This window comes from Homo sapiens, chromosome 5 (genome assembly GCF_000001405.40).
Source record: "Homo sapiens chromosome 5, GRCh38.p14 Primary Assembly".
Lineage (NCBI taxonomy): Eukaryota > Metazoa > Chordata > Mammalia > Primates > Hominidae > Homo > Homo sapiens.
In genome coordinates this window covers 164,718,006-164,741,545 of record NC_000005.10, presented here as the reverse complement: position 1 = coordinate 164,741,545, position 23,540 = coordinate 164,718,006, and the positions used below count along the sequence as shown (strand labels likewise).

Below are 23,540 nucleotides of genomic sequence, written 5' to 3'. Positions count from 1 at the left end.
CCGGTGATTGGCTCTTGGATGCACAAATGACCTCATCAGAACCAATTAGACATCCTGTGCTTTTGCTGAAATTTCTCATGCAGGGATGGTCTTCTTTCCCCGCAGTATTGGACTAGTGGAGCAACCTTGCAAACACAATTACAAAGTCTGTCTATGAATGGAGCTAGTACAATACAGAACCAAGACTTGGAGATAACAATTGGATCAAGAGGGGCACTGTTTGATTCTTTGAATCAAGCAGCTAGGAAGTTCATCTGTGTTGTTGGAAGTCTCAGTTACCTGCAATTATTTTTCCCTTTTGTTTAAACCACTTTAGATTGAATTTGCTGTGCTATGCAACCAAAATACACTTAACTGACATACCTAGCCATGATCATTCTTACTTCAGATTGTCCATAGAAATGAAAACTGTACAAACTGGCATTTAATAATATATGTGCTTAAATTATTTAGTATGTTTTAAAGAATGCTTATTGTTATATCTCTGATAGGATTTAATTTCCACAAGAAACATTGCATCTTCCAGTTAGCACTGACCTCCCTATATCCTGCTATGCTATCGTAAGTATAACTATAATGCACAGGAACAAAAACAATTTTTACTGAGGCAAAATTCTGCTAAAGATCCTACTAACCTGACTTCCTCACTTGAATTGTAATAGTAACAGAAAGAAGAAAAGTGGTTACCCTGTTCAGATATCCTTTTAGTTTAATGATTGGATGGATTATTTAGAAATGAATTTTATCATAATGCAATCCATTTGACCAAGAATAACAAGTACATAACAAGACACTGCATTTATCATGTTATTTATTTAAGCATAATTATTTAGAAATTAATAATAAGCAATAGGTTTTGGATGTAACTTTTCAATACCATAAACATTGGCAGTCCTTATGCAGGTTTTTCTAAGGAATGTTTCTGGCTGATCTATCAGGACCAAAATATCTTTGTATCATCTTCTTTGTTCTATTCTGTTACTCTGGGTATCATCATTATTTATGCTAGTCTGTGTTGAGATGTTATTTCCATGCATTTGGTTTAAATTATTAATTGCATAAATATCTATCTGCAACTATAATTTGTCAAAGTAGACTGTTAGGTAATTTTTATCAATGGTTTTAAACATTTTTCTAACACTTTCTGATAAATGTCTATCTCAGCTAATGATTACCACTTAGGATTTTTTTTCTACTTTTATGGTGGCTAAGGTATCCTAAGTCTTTCTTTATCTCTCTATCTCTCTCTCCCACGTGTGTGTTTGAAGCTTTGCTTCAATTGCTTTGTTTCAATTGCTTCAGTGATGTGACTTTATATCAGCCACACAATTTTACTAAAAGAATCTTTTCCCCCTGGACAAGCACAGTTCCTATATTAAGTAAAAAAAAAAGAAAAAAGAAAAAAAAAATCCTTGATATCCAGTTATTTTCCATTTATTACCTAGAGCATTTTTCTTGGTTGAAAGTTGCAAGAATTTTATTTTCATTTAAGTGCCGTAAGATTTGTATGTTACCAGAGTCTTGCATTTAAGATGCACCAGATGATTATATGTTGACAGTTAAAAAAATGTTGACTGAGAAAAAGAAAGGACATCATTCATTTTCCCCTCTTGGTTTCCTAAGAAAAAATTGTGGCATTCAACATAAGTCCTATTATAAGAAGTGTGCTAAGTTTAGAACTCTCTATTAGCTGAAATAAGAGTTTCTAGGCTGAAGATCAGTAATTCAGTAAATTACTAAATTTAATTGAATGCATGTGTCAACACCTAATTAAGGTCATCAACTCAACAAGAATTATGCTACCATCTTCATTGTGTTATTAACAACCTCTCAAAGAGCTGCTCTTCAGTCTAAAGGTTCTGCACTGAATCCATTCTTTGAATACAGTTCCTAATCCAAGATTAATTTATTCAAACTTTACTTTTGTGTAAAACCTATTGACTTCATACACGCTTTAGTGAGACTATTGGAACTCAGTGTCTCTGCAAAGCTGAAGTGGAATAGGACTGAATTTTAATATAAGAACAATTTATTAGGACATGTGAACAATCAGCTTCTTTATTTGTATTTTGGTTTACCAACTTGCTTAATGAAACTATTTTCTCCTGAAAATCAATCTGCCACAAGGTTTTATTATGTATCTGTTATATACACCACAGTATATTACATAAATATTTTAAGTTTTGATGGCCTATTCTTTTGAGGAATTTTCAATATCACTAAACTATTTAAATATCTCTAAGGGATATAATAATATCTCAAATATTTAAGTATCTCAATGGGATATAATAATTTTATTTGATCAAGTTCTTATTTGCTATAGTAAGAAAAATGGAAATGTTTATGAAGGCTGAGGTAATGATTCGTAGAGGTAGAATTTGAAATTATAAGATAGGTAAGCAACACTGTATAAAGGGAATTGAATTAGAGCAAATTGGAACTGGTCACAAAAATTAAGATATCAAGACCACATCATCAGGGACCAGTCAGGAGACTACCCTTATAAAACACAGGGTATATGCTGGAAACTTATGTGGCATTTTAGAGAGATGAATAATATAGGAGATTAAAATCCACAAATGTGGCACATATACACCATGGAATACTATGCAGCCATAGAAAATGATGAGTTCATGTCCTTTGTAGGGACATGGATGAAATTGGAAATCATCATTCTCAGTAAACTATCACAAGAACAAAAAACCAAACACCGCATATTCTCACTCATAGGTGGGAACTGAACAATGAGAACACATGGACACAGGAAGGGGAACATCACACTCTGGGGACTGTTGTGGGGTGGGGGGACGGGGGAGGGATAGCATTGGGAGATATACCTAATGCTCAATGACGAGTTAATGGATGCAGCGCACCAGCATGGCACATGTATACATATGTAACTAACCTGCACATTGTGCACATATACCCTAAAACTTAAAGTATAATAATAATAATAATAATAATAATAAATCCATACTGGTATTTTTTTTTTTAAGACAGCATCTTATTCTGTTATCCAGGCTGGAGTGCAATGGGGTGATCTCAGTTCACTGCAACCACCATCTCCTGGGCTCAGGCAATCCTCCCACCTCAGCCTCCTGAGTAGCTGGGACTACAGGCGTGTGCCACCACACCCAGCTAATTTTTTGTACTTTTTGTAGAGAGAGGTCTATTTTGTCCAGGCTTGTCTCCAACTCCTGGGCTCAAGCAATCTGCCCACCTCAGGCTCCCAAACTGCTGGGATTACAGGTGTAAGCCACCACACCCAGCCATATACAGGTATTTTAAAATGTTAGTTTACAGGTAGTAGATTTGTAGAAATAAAGGCTATGTCAAACATTATATATACTTGGAAGTTTCTTCTGAAACTCGATAGTCTAGTTATCGATCATTACTATCATCACTGCTCTTCTAAAATCTTGAAGTTAATAATGTTATTAACTAGCAAGAATTTAGAGAGAAAATAATAATAAAAAGTTTAAACTTTAGGTAAAAACCATAGTTACAAAGAAAAAAAAAAAGAAATACCAAGGTAGGCAAAGAGGGAGCAGATAAATAGAGAAACACCAGATTCTAGAGTTTCATGCAAACAAGGTGGGGCAGTATGTTTCTTCTCTTTGTTTTTTTCTTGAATGAGAATGCACATGTATGACTTTCTCACCACTGTAATTTTTATTCCATAGTTCTTAATAGACAAGCTAACCTACAATTACCAAAGAATGAACAGAATAGCTCTTGAGACTGCAGGGCACTGAAAACACATTTACACTTAAAGGGAGGTGATTAGTTGGTAGAATGTGTTTGAAAGGCTACAAATCCCATACAATAAATATCAATCATCTCATTCAGGGGTTGTTATTCATCACTGACCAAAAACACAGTCAATTCATTAAATCATCTTTCAAGTTTTAGAACTGTGCTAGGGGAGTTACTGGGGAAGTTTTCATAATGTCAGCTCCCATGGATTGGTAGAGACACAAAACGTGGTCAAATATAATTGAATGAAGTCTCTTGGAAATAGTTAATATCAAACAGCAATCTCTTGATACAAAATAATTTGGTTTGGAGAGTCAAAGCTATATTAAAGAAGCATTTTTTGAGTTTATTATCCAAGGAGCACTGAGGTAGACATAAACGTACACAAAAATAAAACAGTTGCTTCAGTCAAGCTCACCATTTAGTAAGAATAATAAATAGGAAACATTAAGACAAATACCACTGATATACTACGATTAGTGGTAAAACATTCTGAAAAGATAGAGGGGAAAGTCACTGGAAAGGTGAAAAAAGGCAAAAGGCAAGTTTATAATTGAGTTGGATCTTAAACAGGAAGAGTTGGGGGGTTATGGTGTTTGTTTATTTTTGTTTGTTTGTTTTTCTGGCTGAAAAGGAGAAGTTCATGATAGGCAAAGAGAACACGTGCTAAGTTAAGGCAAGGTGACGCCATTTTATGTTTCAGCAACACCAAGTTGCTCTATGAGGCTGAAATTTAGACACTCAAAAAGGGGACTAATGTGAAGGCTGCTCTACTTGAAACAGTCACCATCAACTCGGAAAATCCAGAGTTTCAAAAAACTACACTTGTCCTGCTATTTAGGCCCCTGTTTGGATATTATAATTCCATTGAGATCTTCCCTGAAAGTAAGTTCCTACCTTCATCTTCAGTCCTATCACATCACCTTATTTCACTTTTATCCCATTTTTCTTTGACCACAAAACTTATGACTGCCTGTTTTTGTTATTTGTGTCCTTATTTATGGTTTGTGGATTTTTTCTAAGAATATAACTTCCCTAAGAGCAAAGCCCACATCATTGTACTCTGGAATATTCTGAAGGATAACCTAGGCATGTGTTTTATATGTATGTAAGAGCAACTGATGAACACACAAAATTTTAGCCATCATATATTCATCCTTATTTAGGACAATGACTGATTTTAAAGTAAGCAAATAAGTAATCCTAAAATCAACAATAAAAACTTAACTAATGAAAGAAATAATGATTCCCTAAAGATTGCAGTCTCATTCACCAGGGTCTAATTTTCAATAAAAATGTATACCTGGATTACTTCCTCAAAAAGAATAAAAAGAATAAAACTCAAAAACTAGTGCATTTATTTTCAGGACTAACAGAAAAGATAAAGAAGCTTGAAGAAAATGAAAGTTGTTAACAGTGAAAGCAAAAAAGATTTGATGCTGAAAGCTTAAATTCCAAATTCTCTTTTCAAGTTTCTAGAAAATTGGGTATTCACTAACTTCTAAATGGATCAAATAACTTTTCTTTATGAGGAGAAATAACATTCAGTTCTTTTCCTATCAACCCTAATCCCCTGTAATATAAATCACGTAATTAGGCCACCAGAAAACTAGAAGTTCCTTTAGTATCTACCTTTACAGTTCTGTAATTGTTTTTCAAGAGTGATTCTGCAAAGAGATTTTTTTTCCCCCAGTGTGTGATGGCTTTAAAAAATGTCTGCAAATTCTTTGACATTTCATCAAGAAAAAATAGAGTCCATGTTACCTTCTCCCCCTGAATACCAGTGGGCTGGTGATTTGCTTGTTAACTAAAAAGATCAGGTGGAAGTGATATTGTGTCATTTCTGAGGCTAGGTAATAAAATTCAATGTGGCTTCTATCTTACTCACTAAAACACTCTGAATTGTCATGTAAGGAAGCCATGCTCTTAGGAAGCCCAAGACACGTGAAGAATTTACATGCAGATCTACCATCCAAAGTCCAAGTTTAGTTTAAATTTGACAGCTAGAATGCATTGCTCAATGATTTGTGAAGATACTTCCAGGTGATACTGGTCACCTGCCCTCAAATGTTGAGTTTCTTCAGCTGAGACCCTATCACTGAACACAGAAAATCTATTTCTGCTGTGACCTTTCCAAATTCTTAAACTGCAGAATCAGTGAGTGTAACATAATTGTGGTTCTAACCCACTGAATACTGGAGTGATTATTATGCAGTAATAGTAATTACTATGCAAAGATTACAGATATGCTGTATCAGCATGAACAAATATTCATATAAGCATGGAGTGGAAAATAGATAATCCTTCAAGACAGACCTCTAACACAAAAAGCCTATTATCAAATAACCAATTACTCATTGTTAAAAAGGACACCACTTAGCCTGCAAGAACACTACCATTTAGATATTCTACACAATATTTACCAGATAAAATATTATAGTATTCTATCATGCCAAGTACTCTTTAGAAGCTGAAAGTACTTAAGGACTTTAGCTAAAACCAGATTTGTGTTTTCTACTTGTACTAAACTGGTAATTGTCAACTGGTATCCCTGTTAATCTTTTAAGGCTTTACATCTAAGTATTTCTGCCTTTAAAACATGCCTCTATGTGTGGGAAAGGGCTGTTTAAAACAAACAAGCAAGCAATCAAATGAAAACAACAGAAGGTAACCTCTTTTTCATCAGAACTCTTTCAGCCTAGAGAATGTTTTTCTGCCAATCTATATTGCTGGTTGACTTCCTTAGACCAAATTATTTGAGCAAAGGTTTCTTAAAACTTAGCCCAAGGGTGGTCCCTAAAAAAGATAGATAAGTTTAAGTGTAGCTTCCACATAGTAGTAAATAATAAAAAATTACCTGCTCAGCCGGGCGTGGTGGCTCATGCCTGTAATCCCAGCACTTTGGGAGGCCAGGGTGGCTGGATCACCTGAGGTCAGGAGTTCAAGACCAGCCTAACCAACATGGAAGAAGCCTGTCTCTACTAAAAATACAAAATTAGCCGGGCTTGGTGGCGCATGCCTGTAATTCCAGCTACTCAGGAGGCTGAGGCAGGAGAATTGCTTGAACCTGGGAGGCAGAGGTTGCCGTGAGCCGAGATCGTGCCATTGCACTCCAGCCTGGGGAACAAGAGTGAAACAGTATCCCCCCCCCAAAAAAAAAAATTGCCTGCTCAACTTAGTATATAGTTTGTTATTCTAGATGATATTCCAAGTTTGCCAACAAATCAAAATCTTTTCTCTAACAAACAGAAAGCAAAAATTGCCAGATTTCAATGATTATTTTGTGTTAGCATGTCATTCTCAAACATCTATAGATAATAGTTTCGGCCGGGCGCTGTGGCTTATGCCTTAATCCCAGTACTTCGGGAGGCTGAGGCGGGCGGATCACGAGGTCAGGAGATTGAGACCATCCTGGCTAAAACAGTGGAGGCTGAGGCAGGAGAATGGCGTGAACCTGGGAGGCAGAGTTTGCAGTGAGCTGAGATTGTGCCACTGCACTCCAGCCTGGGCGATAGAGCAAGACTCAGTCTCAAAAATAAATAAATAAATAAATAAATAAATAAATAAATAAATAAATAGATAATCGTTTCAACATCATATAATCTCAATATTATTTTGTCTTCAGTAACTTCTATTTGGATTTTCTCATCTAAATGTGAAAACATATCATCTTTCATGAGCATTTAATGTATTTAAACAACTAGGTTGTAAATTCTATACAATACATTTAAGGGGGCATTGGCAATTCTATAGTGCTGACGAACAGAAATACAATATGAATCCCAAGCAAGAGCTGCATAAAGAATTTTAAAATGTTTAGCCACATTTCAAAAAGGAAAAAAGAAATAGGTGAAATTAATTTTAAAATATACCTAATCTAACCTAATATGTCAAAATATCATTTCAACCTATAATTAATAAAAATAAATATTTTAATTTTGTGTTATACTAAGCTTTTGAAAGACAAGTGTTTGTATTATACTTATAACATATCTCAATGTCATCTAGGCTTGTTTCCTTTGTGTGTGTGTGTACATTTAGCGGGGTTCAAGGGCAATTTAAGGGGTTTAAGTGTTACATGAATATATCACATAGTGGTAAAGCCTGGAATTTTAGTGTAACCATCACCTGAATAATGCTCGTTGTACTCATCAAGTAATTTTTTCAGGACTCACCTCCCTCCTTGCCTTCTCACTCTTCCTAGTATGCAGTGTCTTCTATTCCACACTCAGTGTTTATGTGTACACATTATATAGCTGCTGCTTATCAGTAAGAACATGCAGTATTTGGCTTTCTGTTTCTGAGTTATTTCACTTAAGATAATGGCCTCCTGTTTCATCTATGCTGTTGCAAAAGATTGACTGCATCCTTTTTTATGGCTGAGTAGTATTTCATTGTATATATTTACCACATTTACTTTATCCCATCACCCACTGAGGGACACTTAGGTTGATTCCATCTATGTCTGCTATTGTAAATAGTACTAAGAGAAACATACTAGTGCAGGTATTTTTTTAATATAATGATTTCTTCTCTTTTGGGTGCATACCCAGGAGGGGGATTGCTGGATCAAATGGTTGTTCTATTTTTAATTGAGAAATCTCCATACTGTTTTGCATAAAAGTCACACTAATTTACACTCCCACAAACAGCATATAAGTGTTCTTTTGGTCTTTCTCACCAACATCTGTTTTTTGGGTTTTGTTTTGTTTTGTTTACATTTTAGTAATAGCCATTCTGACTAGTATGAGATAAGTATCTCATTTTGGTTTTAATTTGTATTTCTCTAATGATCAGTGACGCTGAACTTTTATTTTCCATATGCTTCTTGGCCATTTCTATGTCTTCTTTTGAAAAATGTCTGTTCATGTGCTTTTGACCACTTTTTATGGGGTTATTTATTTATTTTTGTTGTTGTTGGGTTGCTTGAGTTCCTTGCAAATTCTGGATATTAGTCCCTTGTGGGATGCATAACTTGCAAATATTTTTTTCTCATTCTGTAAGTTTTCTGTTCACTCTGTTGATTATTTCTTTCGCTGTACAGAAACTTTTTAATTTAAGTCTCATTTGTCTATGTTCGTTAAAGCGCACATGTGACTAGTAGTCAACCATGGTGAATAGTGCAACTACAGAAGATCATCTACTGTGGAGCTAATCTCAGGATTGGGGCATTTTGATCTGCTTTATTTTTTCCCTTTATAGCAAGGCTCTAATTCTTTCAAATACTTCAAATAATAAGTAAACTTATTTGAATTTGATTCGTTTAAGTAAACCTATTTGAATTTGATTCTTTTAGGAAAATTTTAAAAAGATTTATTATTTGAAATAACCTTTCATTTCTTCCTTTTAGTTTTAATAACAAATGTCTGTATGCTACTCAAAATCAACATGCAGGTTTAATCAGTTTACCAAAAATTGATAAAGGACTCTGTGTAACAAATTAATGATTCTTTTGGCTTAAATATAAGTTACTTAAAGAAACCTTTCTGACCACCTTCTCTTATTGTCTCCAGCTATATCCCATTAGCCACTCCATCATGAAATCCTGCTTAATTTTTTTCATGATTCATAAACCTATTTGAAAACGTGTTATTACCTAAATCAGTTTATCTGTTTATTGTTTATCTCTGTAAATATAATACAGGCTATCTGAGAGCACATAGATTTATTTCATAAGCACTAATGCTGTTCATTTTCTAGAAGAGGACCTACCACGTTGGAGGTGCTCAAAAATATTTATTAATTAAATTAATAAATATCTTCATTACATTGTAAAAATATAGACACTCTTCAATTTAATTTATACCAAGAAAACCAGCTGAAATATTGTTTAGAAAGTTTCATCTGAGAGTCACAGTCTTCTCAGACTTTGTCAAGAAAGCAATGCAATTTTTATTGTGGCTCATATGGCAGAATGTCCATCTCTTTAATAGTAAGAAATTCAGAAATGAAGAACTTCATATTTGTGCATCTAGGATAAAAGAAAAGCTTATTTCTTTCCAAATATCATCTACAGTCTTGCTAATACAAAGCTATTAATTCAACATACAAACATGTTTCTTTCTTATTATTGAAAAAGCCTCTCAAATTTAATTAAAGTCAATAAAGAAATTAAAAGCTTAATGAGAGCAAGAATCCTCTGAGTGTGTTCATGCTGTTATCAGACTGTGATGTTGTAAAAGGTAGGATTATGATTTTACTGCCTGGGCGACCAAGAATAGAGGAAAGGATGAGGAGAAGAATTTTGAAAAGTCTCCTGGTGAGGAAAATCTCAGAGTGGAAAACTGTGGTGCTTAATGAAGTCAATGGAGAAATTCAATACCAAAGGGCTAGCTTGTGAGCATCACCACCTATTATTTGAAGCTAAGACTGACAAATAATTTGAGAGGTGTTTAAACAAGATTCCTACTCAACATGAAACTTGATGGGAACCTCTGGGAGTATGTCCACTATCTCTTCCCAAGTCATCTCTCAATGATTGGAATTGGGCTGGGTCAGATCATAAGTAATATTTATTTTTATTTCACTTAAAAAAAAAAAAAGAAAAACAATCAGCTGGGCATGGTGGCTCACGCCTGTAATCCCAGCACTTTGGGAGGCCGAGGCAGGCAGATCACGAGATCAGGAATTCAGGACCGGCCTGGCCAATATAGTGAAACCCTGTCTCTACTAAAAATACAAAAATTAGCCGGGTGTGGTGGCATGTGCCTGTAATCCCAGCTACTCAGGAGCCTGAGGCAGGAGAATTGCTTGAAACCAGGAGGCAGAGGTTGCAGTGAGTTGAGACCATGCCATTGCATTCCAGCCTGGGTGACAGAGTGAGGCTCCATCTCAAATAATAATAATAAATAAAAAAGAATATTTCCTGAACTAGAAAGTCAGGATAAACTTCCAGTCTTTTGCACTTAGAGTAAGATTCCCCCTGTTCTCCTAGTATTGAAAGCTTAAGCAATAGTGGTCAAGAGAGAGATATGTGGGTATAATACTCAACTAATTCTGGCCTCCACATCTCCCTCAGAAGGAGTGAAGAGGCTCCCCTAGACACTCACATTCTCTCACCACTTCTACCTCCATGATACCACTATGCCTACATCCTTTGTTCTGGTCTATTTCAAATCCCCATAAGAAGCCACTGACTTCATCTCTCATTTTCCTCATTTTTACCTGCTTAGGCTGCACATCCCTGTTTAGTCCCCATTTGCAAGTCTTCCACAGTTCCTGAAACCCCTCCACTGTGCTCTGTGGAACTTGCCATGCAGCATCCTCAAACTTTAATGTTCTCTTCATCATCTTGCTCAAAAAACCCTGGGTCTTCTCTGAGGACAGTGCTTTCCCAGGGGAGCATCGTGTGTTTTCTCTCTCTTTCTCACGCCACGGGGCCTGGTAGTGGACTCCGTGTCCTTCTTATGCCTCATCTCCAGTTCTAAACTCTTCCCTCTGCCTCCTCTAGACAATGCTCTACTGAAGAAATGACCAGCCCAAACCAGCCCTTATTGCAATCAGCTACTGTGCCCCAAGTAACTCCTCCTCATTTCTTAAAGAGTTTGGTTTCTGTGTCACTGTTACTCTCTCCAAGACAACGTCAGTCTTAAATCTTGGTGATATCAATTTATACCAAGATGATTCTGCCAAATTTCTCTCTTCCCAGTACTTTGGAATCTTCTCCTCCCATGATGCTGTCCTCCACCATCTCTCAGACACAATTCCCATGGTCATACACGTTACAGTGACCTCTCCATATTTACAGCTTCAAGCATCCCACTTTCTCATCACTTGTAGAATTCTCTCTTTACATCTTACTTGCTTCAGGACCTCAACACCAACAGTTCTTTCTACACATACAATCCCACCAGCTCTTCTATTCATTTTCTCACCCTCATTTTATACTTGCCCAATTTAAATTCCACAATTAATCATATAATCACAAACTTGGATACTCCCTCAGCTCTCTTGTCTCTTGATTCATTATATTCACTAGAGAAAACCATAAATCTAGTGAAATGCAATTTTCCACCAACTCTACACTTGGGCCCATGCAGCTGAATATGGCTAGGGAAAAAATTAAAAAATAAAAATATGTTGACTACTCTCATATTAAATGCTTGGACAGGAACCTCAGTTGATGTCTTTATATGGCCTGGTGCTTGTGTTAAGTTTGCCACCCTTACAGACAACTGTATGATGCTTTTCCTTTCTTCAAACCTTCAATATCTCTCAATTTCACACTCAGTTGACAACCTCATTTCTCTTTTCATGAGAAAATCAAATAAACTAGAATGGTGCTCTTAAAACTCCTACTGTTTTACAAACTTCTGCACCTCAATTATATAAATGAAATGCATCTTATTTCATTTATCCCAGTGACATTTTGTTGTCTTCCATCCCAATTATATAAATGAAATGTCCACAGTTCCATCTACAGTCATCACATTGGAACTAGAGATCCCATGACTTCTTACCTAGTGAGGGATGTCGTTCTCCCTTATCATCAGATTTATCCTCTCCACCAGATTACTCCCATTCCCAACCGCCACCCCCAACAACTACTACTTCCTTTATTTCCTCTCCTTTATAGGAAAAAATACTTTGAAACAATCTTCTGGTGCACACTGCTTTCAATTTTCCTCTTCTCATTCTCTCGTAAGTCCACTTTCATCCCCACAAATGACAGTTCTCTGGACTCATATTACCCAACCCAAGGACAGCAGGTGAGACATTTGGCAACTTTCTCTTTCTTAAAGCATTTTCTTCATTTAATGCTCAGGTTATTTTTCTACCTCAGTACCCTCGCTGGAGTATCCCAGGCTTCATTTCTTACATCTCTTCATTTCTATTTCTGATCTGTTCCCTTGGTGACGTCACCTCGCTTTATGACTTTAAATCTTAATTCAGATATCCAAGTGCTTAGAAAACATCTCCACTTGGATGTTTAATTGGCATCTCAAAGTTAACACATGCAAAGCTGATTTCTGATCTTCCTACCAAATGTACTTCATCTATGTCTTCCAAATTTCAGTGAAGATTGCTCTGTTCTTTTGGTTGTTAATACCAGAAAACTTGGAGTCATTCTTAATTCCTTCATCTTATATCCCTCATCTAATTCATAAGCTAATCATGTGGGGTTAAACTTCAAATTGTATCCAGATTCTGACCACTTTCCACCATTTGCACTGTCACTGTCCTGCTCCAAACTCTAGATAACTTTAATTGCTTCCTGACTGGTCCTTACTTCAACCTGTGCATTCACTCTTTGGTGTACTCTCAACAAAACAGCCAACGTAATTCCACTAAAATTCAAGCAACATTTTATAATCTCTACACTTAAAATTCTCTACTATTTCCCCATTTTATTCAGACTAACTTACTGAGCACTCCAAGACCCATATGAGGTAAGTTCAAATATTGAAGCTGACCCAACAGTCTTACAGATAATTTTTTGAATGAACATGGAAATTGACCTTTCAGGTCTTAAAGCTTGAACTTTATGTTTGTTTTATCTAGTTTCTTCCTCAGGAAATGACCTTCAGGCATCAGAAAAAAGGTATCAACGAATTGAAACTCACCAGATTACCACATCCAGAAAATGAAATGTTGACCCCTCATTCATCATGATTGCTTCCTTGCCTTTCCCTAATTCCTGTTGTTTTTTTTTTTTTTGTCTTTTTTGTTTTGTTTTGTTTTGTTTTACACATTTGCTGCATTTCTTCCTTGCTATATAAATTTCTAGTTTTAGTCAGTCCAGGAGATGGATTTGAGAATCATCTCCCATCGCTTTGGTTTAGCACCTGATTAAAGCTTCTTCCTTGGCAATACTCATTGTCTCAGTCATTGGCTTTCTGTGCAGCAAGTAGCAGGACCTAGACAAAACCCCTGGTGTTTCAGTAACATTAGTACCATTTTACAGACTAGGAAGCAAAAATTAAACAATGACAGTAAAAAGGTTACTGGCTGGTAAGTGGTTGTAATAAGATTCAATCTTAGGGGTCCTGGCTTAAGAGTCCATATTTGCAGCCATTATGATTCACTAACAAAAGCAGTTTACCTAAATTAAGCAATAAAACCCTAAATCCTTTCCATGTCTGGTTCTGTGGCTTATCTTAAGACCTCTTCTCCTATAAGCCTCCCCTTTGCCTATTCCTCCAGTCACACTAGCCCATTACTATTCCTTGAACTGTTCAGTCAGACTAAAATCCAAACAGTTCCCTCACCTACATCAAACTTTCCTTGCTTCTCTGTTTACATCCACTTGGCGCTCCAAGTTTTCTGTTCTTCCAGTTGCTGATTTCTTGGTCATTCTTTAATATATGCTATCTTCTTCCTGCTATGACACTATTCTCATTGTTCATTTAGTAAATGATTTCGAAGTGGTGGGGTGGCCAGTGCTGTCCAGCAAGGCTCTGGCTCCACAAAGTCAGGGATTCAAACAATTCATTTCTAAGACAGACAGATTGAGATTTTCCAGTCTTTCAAAGTCCTAGCTCCTTTCCGTCTGAGAGTCTTTGCATTTGCTGTTGCTTCTGCCTGGAATATTCTAGTTCCTGGGATGTTTTTGCATTGCTGGCTCCAGCTCAGCATTCATGTCTCTGCTCATATATGGCCCCTTGGGAAGATTTCTCTGGCCACTCTAGCTAATGTAGACACCACCCTGTTCTGTTAACCACTCTATCCTATCACTATTTCACTTTCTTCACAGCAAAATATTTCGCAATTTTTAATTTATTTACCTGTGCATGGATTAACTTCCCCCACTGGACTATGAGCTGTATTAGCAATGACTTCATTCTCTTTGATTTCCACCGCTTAGATCAGAGCCATCACAAAGAAAGCGAAAGATGAATATTTCTTAAATGTATGAATAAATCCTTATTTTTGTCTGACTTGATTCCAATAAGTATAAAAATAGCAAGCAGTATGGAAACTTCTGAATTTTATCTAAATTTCAGAATTTGGTAGAGAGATATTTAAGTTTTTTCTACTATAATTGGTATGTGTATATATTATGGTCTATTTCCAATTTATCTTTGGATATAAATAAGACATGTACAATTTTAGCAATTCTTACAAGACTCAACACATATAGTCTTTTCTTTTAGTCTCCTAGTCTTAGCCATCAATAGCATGGAATTTCTATGATAGAGCAGTATTTTATGGCTGGTACATATATACACATACATACAGTTTTATATATATATAGATATATATACACACACACACAGACATAAATACATGTACACACACAGCTCTTCATGTCTGTGTATATATGTAATTATTCTTTTGGTTTATTTAGAACACTACTCTCTTGCCTGGCCAGGCACAGTGGCTCACACCTATAATCCCAGCACTTTGGGAGGCCAAGGTGGGCAGATTACCTAAGGTCAGGAGTTCAAGACCAGCCTGGCCAACATGGAGAAACTCCATCTCTACTAAAAGTACAAAAATTAGGTGGGCATGGTGGTGGGTGCCTGTAATCCCAGCTACCCAGGAGGTTGAGGCAGGAGAATTGCTTGAACCCAGGAGGCAGAGGTTGCGGTGTCTGAGATCGTTCCATTGCACTCCAGCCTGGGTGACAACAGCGAGACTCCGTCTCAAAACAAAACAAAACAACCCACTCTCTTTCCCTATGGTTATTTGGCAGAATGCTGTTTTCCTTAGAGTTCAAGTTTAGATGAGTAGAGGCAAGTTGCCAGGCCAGCAAATACACCTCATGAGAGAAATGCAGCTTATTAATAAATGCTATAAAACACACCCTGACACTTTGTCATGTCATGCCGTAGCAAATTAGGAGAGTGTCCTTAGTTCTTAAGGGAGATATTGCAGCTCTGATCATTTAGAAGTTCATCTATGAATATAAACCTGGTACTGCCTGCAATATGTATCAGCGGCAAAATAAGCCAACAGTTAATGCTTAGCACATAAAATTTTTGAGTAAAAATTCAAAGGAATGTATGAATGTAGTCCTTATAAGAAGAAAAAAATATTGCAGAAGAAGACAGCATAATGAGAAAAGTGGACATTTCTTAGATAAATAAGATGAGGCTATCAATTTCAGAGATATACCAGCCATAATGAAAATAATGATAGTAAGGATGCTTATATGCATCAATTAAAAAGTTACTTAACTTCCTTTTAACTTAAGTTTTCTTCTTGTTTTGATTCAATTACTCTTGTGATTGAGGGCCCCCAGTGAATAATATTTAAAAACATTTTTGTTTTTCTAATTTAAAAAATATATAATGGTACTTTACATTTCCCAGAGAAATGAAAACTTAAGTTCACAAAAAAAACCCTGTACATAGATGTTCAGTTTTATGAATGGAGCAGTTTTATTTACAATAACCAAAGACTGACAACAACCTAGATGTCTTTATTTATTTTGAGACAGAGTCTTGCTCTGTTGCCCAGGCTGGAGTGCAATGGCATGATCTTGGCTCACTGCAATGTCTGCCTCCCAGGTTCAAGCAATTCTCCTTAATCAGCCTCCTGAGTAGCTGGGATTACAGGCATGCACCACCATGCCTGGCTAATTTGTATTTTTAGTACATGTATTTTTGCCATGTTGCCCAGGCTGGTCTCAAACTCCTGAGCTCAGGCAATCTGCCCTTCTCAGCCTCCCAAAATGCTGGGATTACAGGTGTGAGCCACTGTGCCTGGCCAACCTAGATGTCTTTAAATGGGTAAATGGTTAAACTAACTGAGGTCCATCTATACCAAAAAATACTAGTCAGCAACAAAAATTAATGAACTATTTATACAATGACTGTTGGTGTAGATCTTCAAGGAATCATATTGAGTGAAAAGCCAATCTTGTTCATGAACATACCGCATGATTCCATTTATATAATTTTCTTGAAATGACAGTATGTTAGAAAGGAAGAACAGATTAGTAATTACTAGGAGTTAAGGGGAATAGGAACATAGGTATGGCTATGAAAGAGCAGTGGGAGGGAATCATGTGTGACGAAAATGTTCTTTATATTAAGTGTATCAATGTCAATAGCCTGGTTTTCATTTTATAGCATAAATTTCCAATACGTTACATTGGGAGAAACCAGGTAAAAGGCACTGGAGTTTCTCCGTATTAATTTCTTACAACTGCATGTGAATCAATAATAATCTCAAAATAAAAAGTTTAATAAAAAATAATGTAATTCCTGGCCTGGTGCGGTGGCTCACGCCTGTAATCCCAGCACTTTGGGAGGCCGAGGCAGGCGGATCATGAGGTCAGGAGATCGAGACCATCCTGGCTAGCACGGTGAAACCCCGTCTCTACTAAAAATGCAAAAAATTAGCTGGACGCAGTGGCGGGCGCCTGTAGTCCCAGCTACTTGGGAGGCTGAGGCAGGAGAATGGCGTGAATCCGGGAGGCGGAGCTTGCAGTGAGCCGAGATAGCACCACTGAACTCCAGCCTGGGCGAAAGAGTGAGACTCCGTCTCAAAAAAAAAAAAAAAAAAAATGTAATTCCTAAAATATAGGTAATATGATCTCCAATTAAGAGTGTGAAAACCTAAGAACTGACTCTTTTAAGAATTAAAATATATATTTTTCTTTACCTTTGCCCTGTCAGACTTGATGTTTCTGATTATATATTTACATGACAAACGTTGATTCAAAACTGTTAATAAACACCTAAATAATTAAAAGTAGGTCATATTGAATTGTGAAAAATTTACTCCTTTTGTTAGAGGTATCAAATGCACATGAGTAAGTTGGAAGTAGAGAATCAATTATCCAGCCTCATATCCACAGGGTCCTGGAGCAGTGTCATTTTTTGAAAATGGAAAATTTGTGTTTGAATATTCTTTGTGGCCTCTGCATCAGTTTCCTGTTCATTTTTTCTTCACGTCATTTTAACAATCTGAATTTTAGGATATTTGCTCTAAAAAAAAAAGGTTTTAGTATTTGAAATTGCTAAACAAGAATTCAAGTTCCAGCATCTTCTTAATAATTACATAATTTGGAGCAAGTAATTTTTCTGCTCTGAATCTGTTTCCTTATCTGTAAAATGAAGCCGATATCTACCTCTTAGGTTTACTGTGAGGATAAATGGAAATGTTGCCAGTGAAGCAACCTGATTTAGTGGCTGGTACATCATAGGTGATCATTTCATTGATCCTTAATGCAGCCATTTAACAAATGTCTATGGGCCAGCCATTTGCCAATAAGCAAGCATCTGGCTCCCCTACATGTTACGTTCTAGTGGGAAAAATGGGCAACAGAGGTATAAATACAAAATAAATATTTTGTATGATGACAAATATTTTAATAACATGTGTTCTAAAAGTAAAACAGGTTAGTAGGGGGAAAAAGAGTGCTACAGAAGATGACCAATCTGGCGGGGCATGTTGGCTCACATCTGTAATCCCAGCCCTTTGGGAGGCTGAGGCGAGTGGATCACCTGAGGTCAGGAATTTGAGACCAGCCTGGCCAACATGGTAAAATCCCGTCTACACTAAAAATACAAAAATTAGCCGGGCGTGGTGGCTCATGCCTGTAGTCCCAGCTACTCGGGAGGCTGAGATGCGAGAATCACTTGAACCCAGGAGGCAGAAGTTGCAGTGAGCCAAGATCACACCACTGCACTCCAGCCTGGGCAACAGAGTGAGACTGGGTCTCAAAAAAAAAAAAAAAAAAAAAAATGAGCAGTCTACTTTGGTGGGGAAGTCAGGGGAACTTCCAGAGTTCAGAGGTCTCTTCCTTTAATCCTTTAAATTATTTTTCATTTGCCCATTGAAGGGCACCATTATTACTTAAAGAAGTAACATTTTCATCTATTATCAGACATTCAAATCTCAGTGAAAATAAATAGCAGATACTTAGTGACTCATTTCAGTATCTGTTATTTGATATATCACATAAATAGAATAGTGTGCATATTTTTCTCAGCTCTGTGTATATTGGAAATTCTATTTGAAAATAAAGATATCATGCAATAAAGCTATGTGATTATTTTTATAAAATGTTATTTTATTAAACATTCTTACCATAAGAAGTTCTTCTTAGATAAATTCCCGAAAGATGATTTCCCTGGTGGGGGTAAAAAAAAAAAAAAACATGAAAATTAAAAATAATGAACATTACATCATATGCTATTTAAGAAGTTTCATTTTTCAAATTTAGATTCCTCCCTTTTCTTGAACTTAACGTATTTATTCAAATAAGACTACTGTCACTATATAAATAGTCAAAATACTTCTACATTTATTGTAAGACTGCTGTTCTATTACCAAGTAAAAAAGCATTCTGTAGAACATGAAAATTGTCAGTGGTTCTCTACTTCTAATATAAATCATTTAACTTTACTGGCCTCCGTTTTCTCACTTATAAAATCACAAAATTTACTTGAAGTGAGATATATCCAATCTAAAATTCTAATTATGTTTAAGGCTAGTACAATGTAATTTTAGTTAGTGTTTTAAAAATTGTATCCATGTTCATTTTGCAGTGCCAACTAAATACACACACATAGAACATCAAGTTGCATTTCATGTATCTTATGTTTAAATTGAAATGTGAAGCTATTGAGTAATTTGCAACTATTTATTTTTAATCAAGAGAAGAACATATTTTTCTTATGTTTTAGTATTCTGAGCACTGGAAGCCCAAATTGAAACTGAAGAAAAAGACTTCTAATTTTTCCCTGAGTGATTTAAATGTTTTTAAAAGAATCTTTTGCTCATAGAAAATATTTATTTCTTCACCATTACTTTTTTGAATTCCTACCATGTTTTTTCTACTACCATACTTTAATTTAAATTTGGACTATGAACTTAGAATTGAGCAAAAGTAATAGATTTCCAAAATCAGAAGGCTGCTGGGAATCACTTTCAATAAGAGAAGAAAAACAAATGAATTACAGCCAGCATTAGGCTCTGGAATTGAAATTATAAGCACTCTGAGGAGTATTTATAGTATGTGGTCCAAGGATCCTGCTGCTCAGGTCCATTAACATTGTAGACCCTGCTGAATTATGAAAATGTTCCTAAGAACTAACATTTTTACAAAAAGATGCCAAAACCAAATTTCCAAAATACTCCCTTGATAAATAAAAAGTTATATAAAACTCAGTATTTATATTGTAGTTTTAAGAAAACTTTAAGATGTGCAGATATATTTTACATGTTAAAAGCAGCGAAATGTCTGGTTGAAAATGAATGGACAGAGTAACTGAAAACTCTATTAAATAGACCTGATTTTAAGTTCCATCACCGATAGAAAATGACTTCGATATCCCCAAAGTAATGAAGTCCAGGTTCTTTGGTGCAGCTCAAGAATGCAGACTGGGGCAGGTAAAAGTTATAGGAAGGGTGATTTCATTTTAATATAAGGGGGAAAATGCTTCATGAGATAGATTCCAGTGACTAAAAACATTTAAACAGAGGTTAGATGGCCTCCCTTTAGGCTATTATATAAAAGGTGTCTGGACTAGAGGATCTCTATGTTTATTTCCTGCACCTAAGATTGCATAATTGTGTGTTTCAGTGACCTTTGTAGTGACCCTGCAATGAAATCTGAGATGCAGAACAAGTCTGTCTTAATGTACTTTAAATATCAAGTCTAGAACTTTCTTTCCTTCCCTTTTTCTCAGTAATTCCTGAGTATCCTATAGGTTTGGCTAATTTATTAGTTAGATTATCAGACCTATAGGATACTCAGGAGTTACTTTATTAAACCTTCTCCCAGAATTTTCCTGCCCCAGCCCTCACCCCAAGGATGAGTTAGGTGTGTGTTTCTATAGCACTTGCATTCACTCCCATAGCATGGCTTTGCATATGGTATTATAACCGTCTATTTCCCTTAATAGACTATAAGTTCCTGTAGGCAATAATTGTGATTACAATGACAATGTATATTTTAAAAATTAGTTGTATGCAAGTACCAGTTGCAGAATGTTGATATAATCGTTTTCTGGGGATTAAAAAAATGATTTTTTGAGACAAATTTGGAAGGTGCTCGATGATTCAGAGGTTAAGCAAGTATATTTACTTAAGGACATAGCAGAGCCATGAAACTGTTTCATATTCTGTAAATAATAATGATTATTAAAAAGGTAAGTAGATGTAGACTTTCTTAACACTATTTCACCTTGGACTTGTTTTTTCGTGGAGCATCTTCTAAGTCTAGAGTTTGTTTTTTCTTTCCCGGTTTCCTCTAGTGAATTGGTTATTATAGTGAATTATATCATTCACCATTTCACTAGACAGTATCTGGCACTGAGCAGGAATGTAAGAAGAACTAATTGTATTCATCAGTTACTAAAATCTAAACTAATTGGCTTTCATGTTCCCTGATAAATGCTACCATATCTATCCCAAATTATTCTTTAGATTAAAGAAATATTTGGGTCATCTTCTTTGTTTTGATTGCGGAAATCCCTTCTGTGATATAGTTGGCCATTTAACTTCTATGAGAATGATTTATGGCTATAGACATCATATCTACATGAGCTAGTGTGTTTCACTGTAAGATAACCATTGATTTTAAACAAATGTTTTTCACTGAATTTATAGCTGCTGAATGCCTCTAACTTTTGTTCCTTTTTTTTTTTTTTTTTTTTTTGAGACTGAGTCTCGCTCTGTCGCCCAGGCTGGAGTGGTGCAGTGGTGTGATCTTGGCTCACTGCAAACTCTGCCTCCCGGGTTCACGCCATTCTCCTGCCTCAGCCTCCCCAGTAGCTGGGACTACAGGTGCCCACCACCATGCCTGGCTAATTGATTTGTATTTTTTTAGTAGAGATGGTGTTTCACCGTGTTAGCCAGGATGGTCTTGATCTCCTGACCTCATGATCCGCCCGCCTTGGCCTCCCAAAGTGCTGGGATTACAGGCGTGAGCCACTGCACCCGGCCATTTTTGTTCCTTTTCGAACAATCAAAACAAATTTGTGCCTTCTTCAACATGATACTTAATAGATATTGCATTTAGGTTTCTCTTCTCTGAGCTAAATATCTTAGTTTCCTTATTCTTCCTGACATGATTTCCAGATTTCCAAATTGACAGGAATCTTGTTATAAAATTATAATTGATTCTGCTATCTTCTTCCAAAGCCCACTTTAAGGTAAGGTAAGGCAGAATCTTAATATTTTATAAAGATGCCACTGCTGAATCCTATGTTATTTATTCTACTCATATTGCTTCTTTTGACCAGAATGTGTTTTCTTCTTCCCTCCTCCTCATTATCTGCCCTTTAGGAAAAAGCTCACCCCCATTTCACATTCAACCACATTCGCTGTCATTTTTCCTCTCCTGATCTTGGAAAAATCAGTTAAGACTCATTGTCTATTGTGACAATTCAGCCTCCCAATTTTCTGTATTATTAACTGATGTTTCACGTATACTTTTCTTTATTCTTAGTGAATAAAGTTAATAATGGCTAATTTCTTATAACTAAGAAGTTATAAGAATCATGAGAGCAAGTACTTTACTTTTTATTTTTCTAGACACTTTGTCAAATACACAACTGATTAACCAGTTGCCTGAAAATGTTGATAGACATATATGCAGATTTATATGGCCATAGCTCTTATGTCCCTCCTTACTCCTTGATATTTAGAAAGCTAAGGTGCAGCGCACTGGGGCAGATGGAGGCAATTGGTATATAACTTGTTTTCTGACCTTCCAAGCTTTTATTTTCAATGGGAGTGGAGGGGAGGAAAGGCATCCTGGAAGTCTAAAAATGACATTTCCTAGAATTTCTTGACTTGTTTTCATAATTAGTTCTACAAATGGGAGCCAATGGGAGGAGGCACAAGCAGGAGGCATTCTGTATTCAACTCTCAACTTAGCAGAAAGGCAATTACCAGGAAAGCATAGCCTCCAGCATTTTCAGGTCCCAACAGCAGTGGTTAAGGCAGCCTCATTTCAGAAGCAGTGCACTCTATAAACAACAGATGCTGGTGAAGTTGTGGAGAAAAGGGAATACTTTTACACTGTTGGTGGGAGTGTAAATTAGTTCAACCACTGTGGAAGACAGTATGGCAATTCCTCAAAAATGTACAGACAGAAATACCATTTGACCCAGCAATCCCATTACTGGACATATACCCAAAGGAATATAAATCATTCTGTTATAAAGATACATGCACACATATGTTTATTGCAACACTATTCACAATAGCAAAGACATGGAATCATCCTAAATGCCCATCAATGATCGACTGATAAGGAAAATGCGGTACATATACACCATGGAATACTATGCAGCCATAAAACAGAATGAGATCATGTCCTTTGCAGGGACATGGATGGAGTTGGATGCCTTTATCCTCAGCAAACTAATGGAGGAACAGAAAACCAAACACTGCATTTGCTCACTTATAAGTGGGAGCTGAATGATGAGAACATGTGGAAACATGGGGGGAACAACATACACTGGGGCTTGTTGGAGGGTGAGGAGTGGGAGGAGGGAGAGCATCAGGAAGAATAGCTAAATATTAAGCCCAGCTAAATATTAAGCCGAGCTTTATATTTAGGTGATGGGATGATCTTTGCCGTAAACCACAATGGCACACATTTACCTGTGTAACAAACCTGAGTGTCCTGCATATGTATCCCTGAACTTAAAACAAAAGTTGAAAAAAAAAATGAAGCAATGCACCACAGCAGCTTAGCTAGAAATGCATCCCAGAACACAGGTAGGGACACTGTCCTGGTCTTGCATAACAACTGTTCTTCCCCTTTTCTGCCCATCTATCACTTTTGTAAACATTTTTCTGCATTAATATCCTCTCTCTGAGGATATCCAAATTTCTAATAAAACATATGAAAAGACATCAGGAAAACACAAATT

General features: G+C 36.3%; 1 long non-coding RNA gene across 1 annotated transcript in view; it reads right to left on the bottom strand.

Annotated features, from left to right (window-relative positions):
- The window catches only part of LINC03000 (long intergenic non-protein coding RNA 3000), a 765,030-nt gene that overhangs the window by 320,189 nt on the left and 421,301 nt on the right, over positions 1–23,540 (bottom strand). Inside the window, exon 3 of the long non-coding RNA XR_001742489.2 lies at positions 18,739–18,781. This is a non-coding gene — a long non-coding RNA (long intergenic non-protein coding RNA 3000). The remainder of the gene's footprint in view (positions 1–18,738; positions 18,782–23,540) is intronic.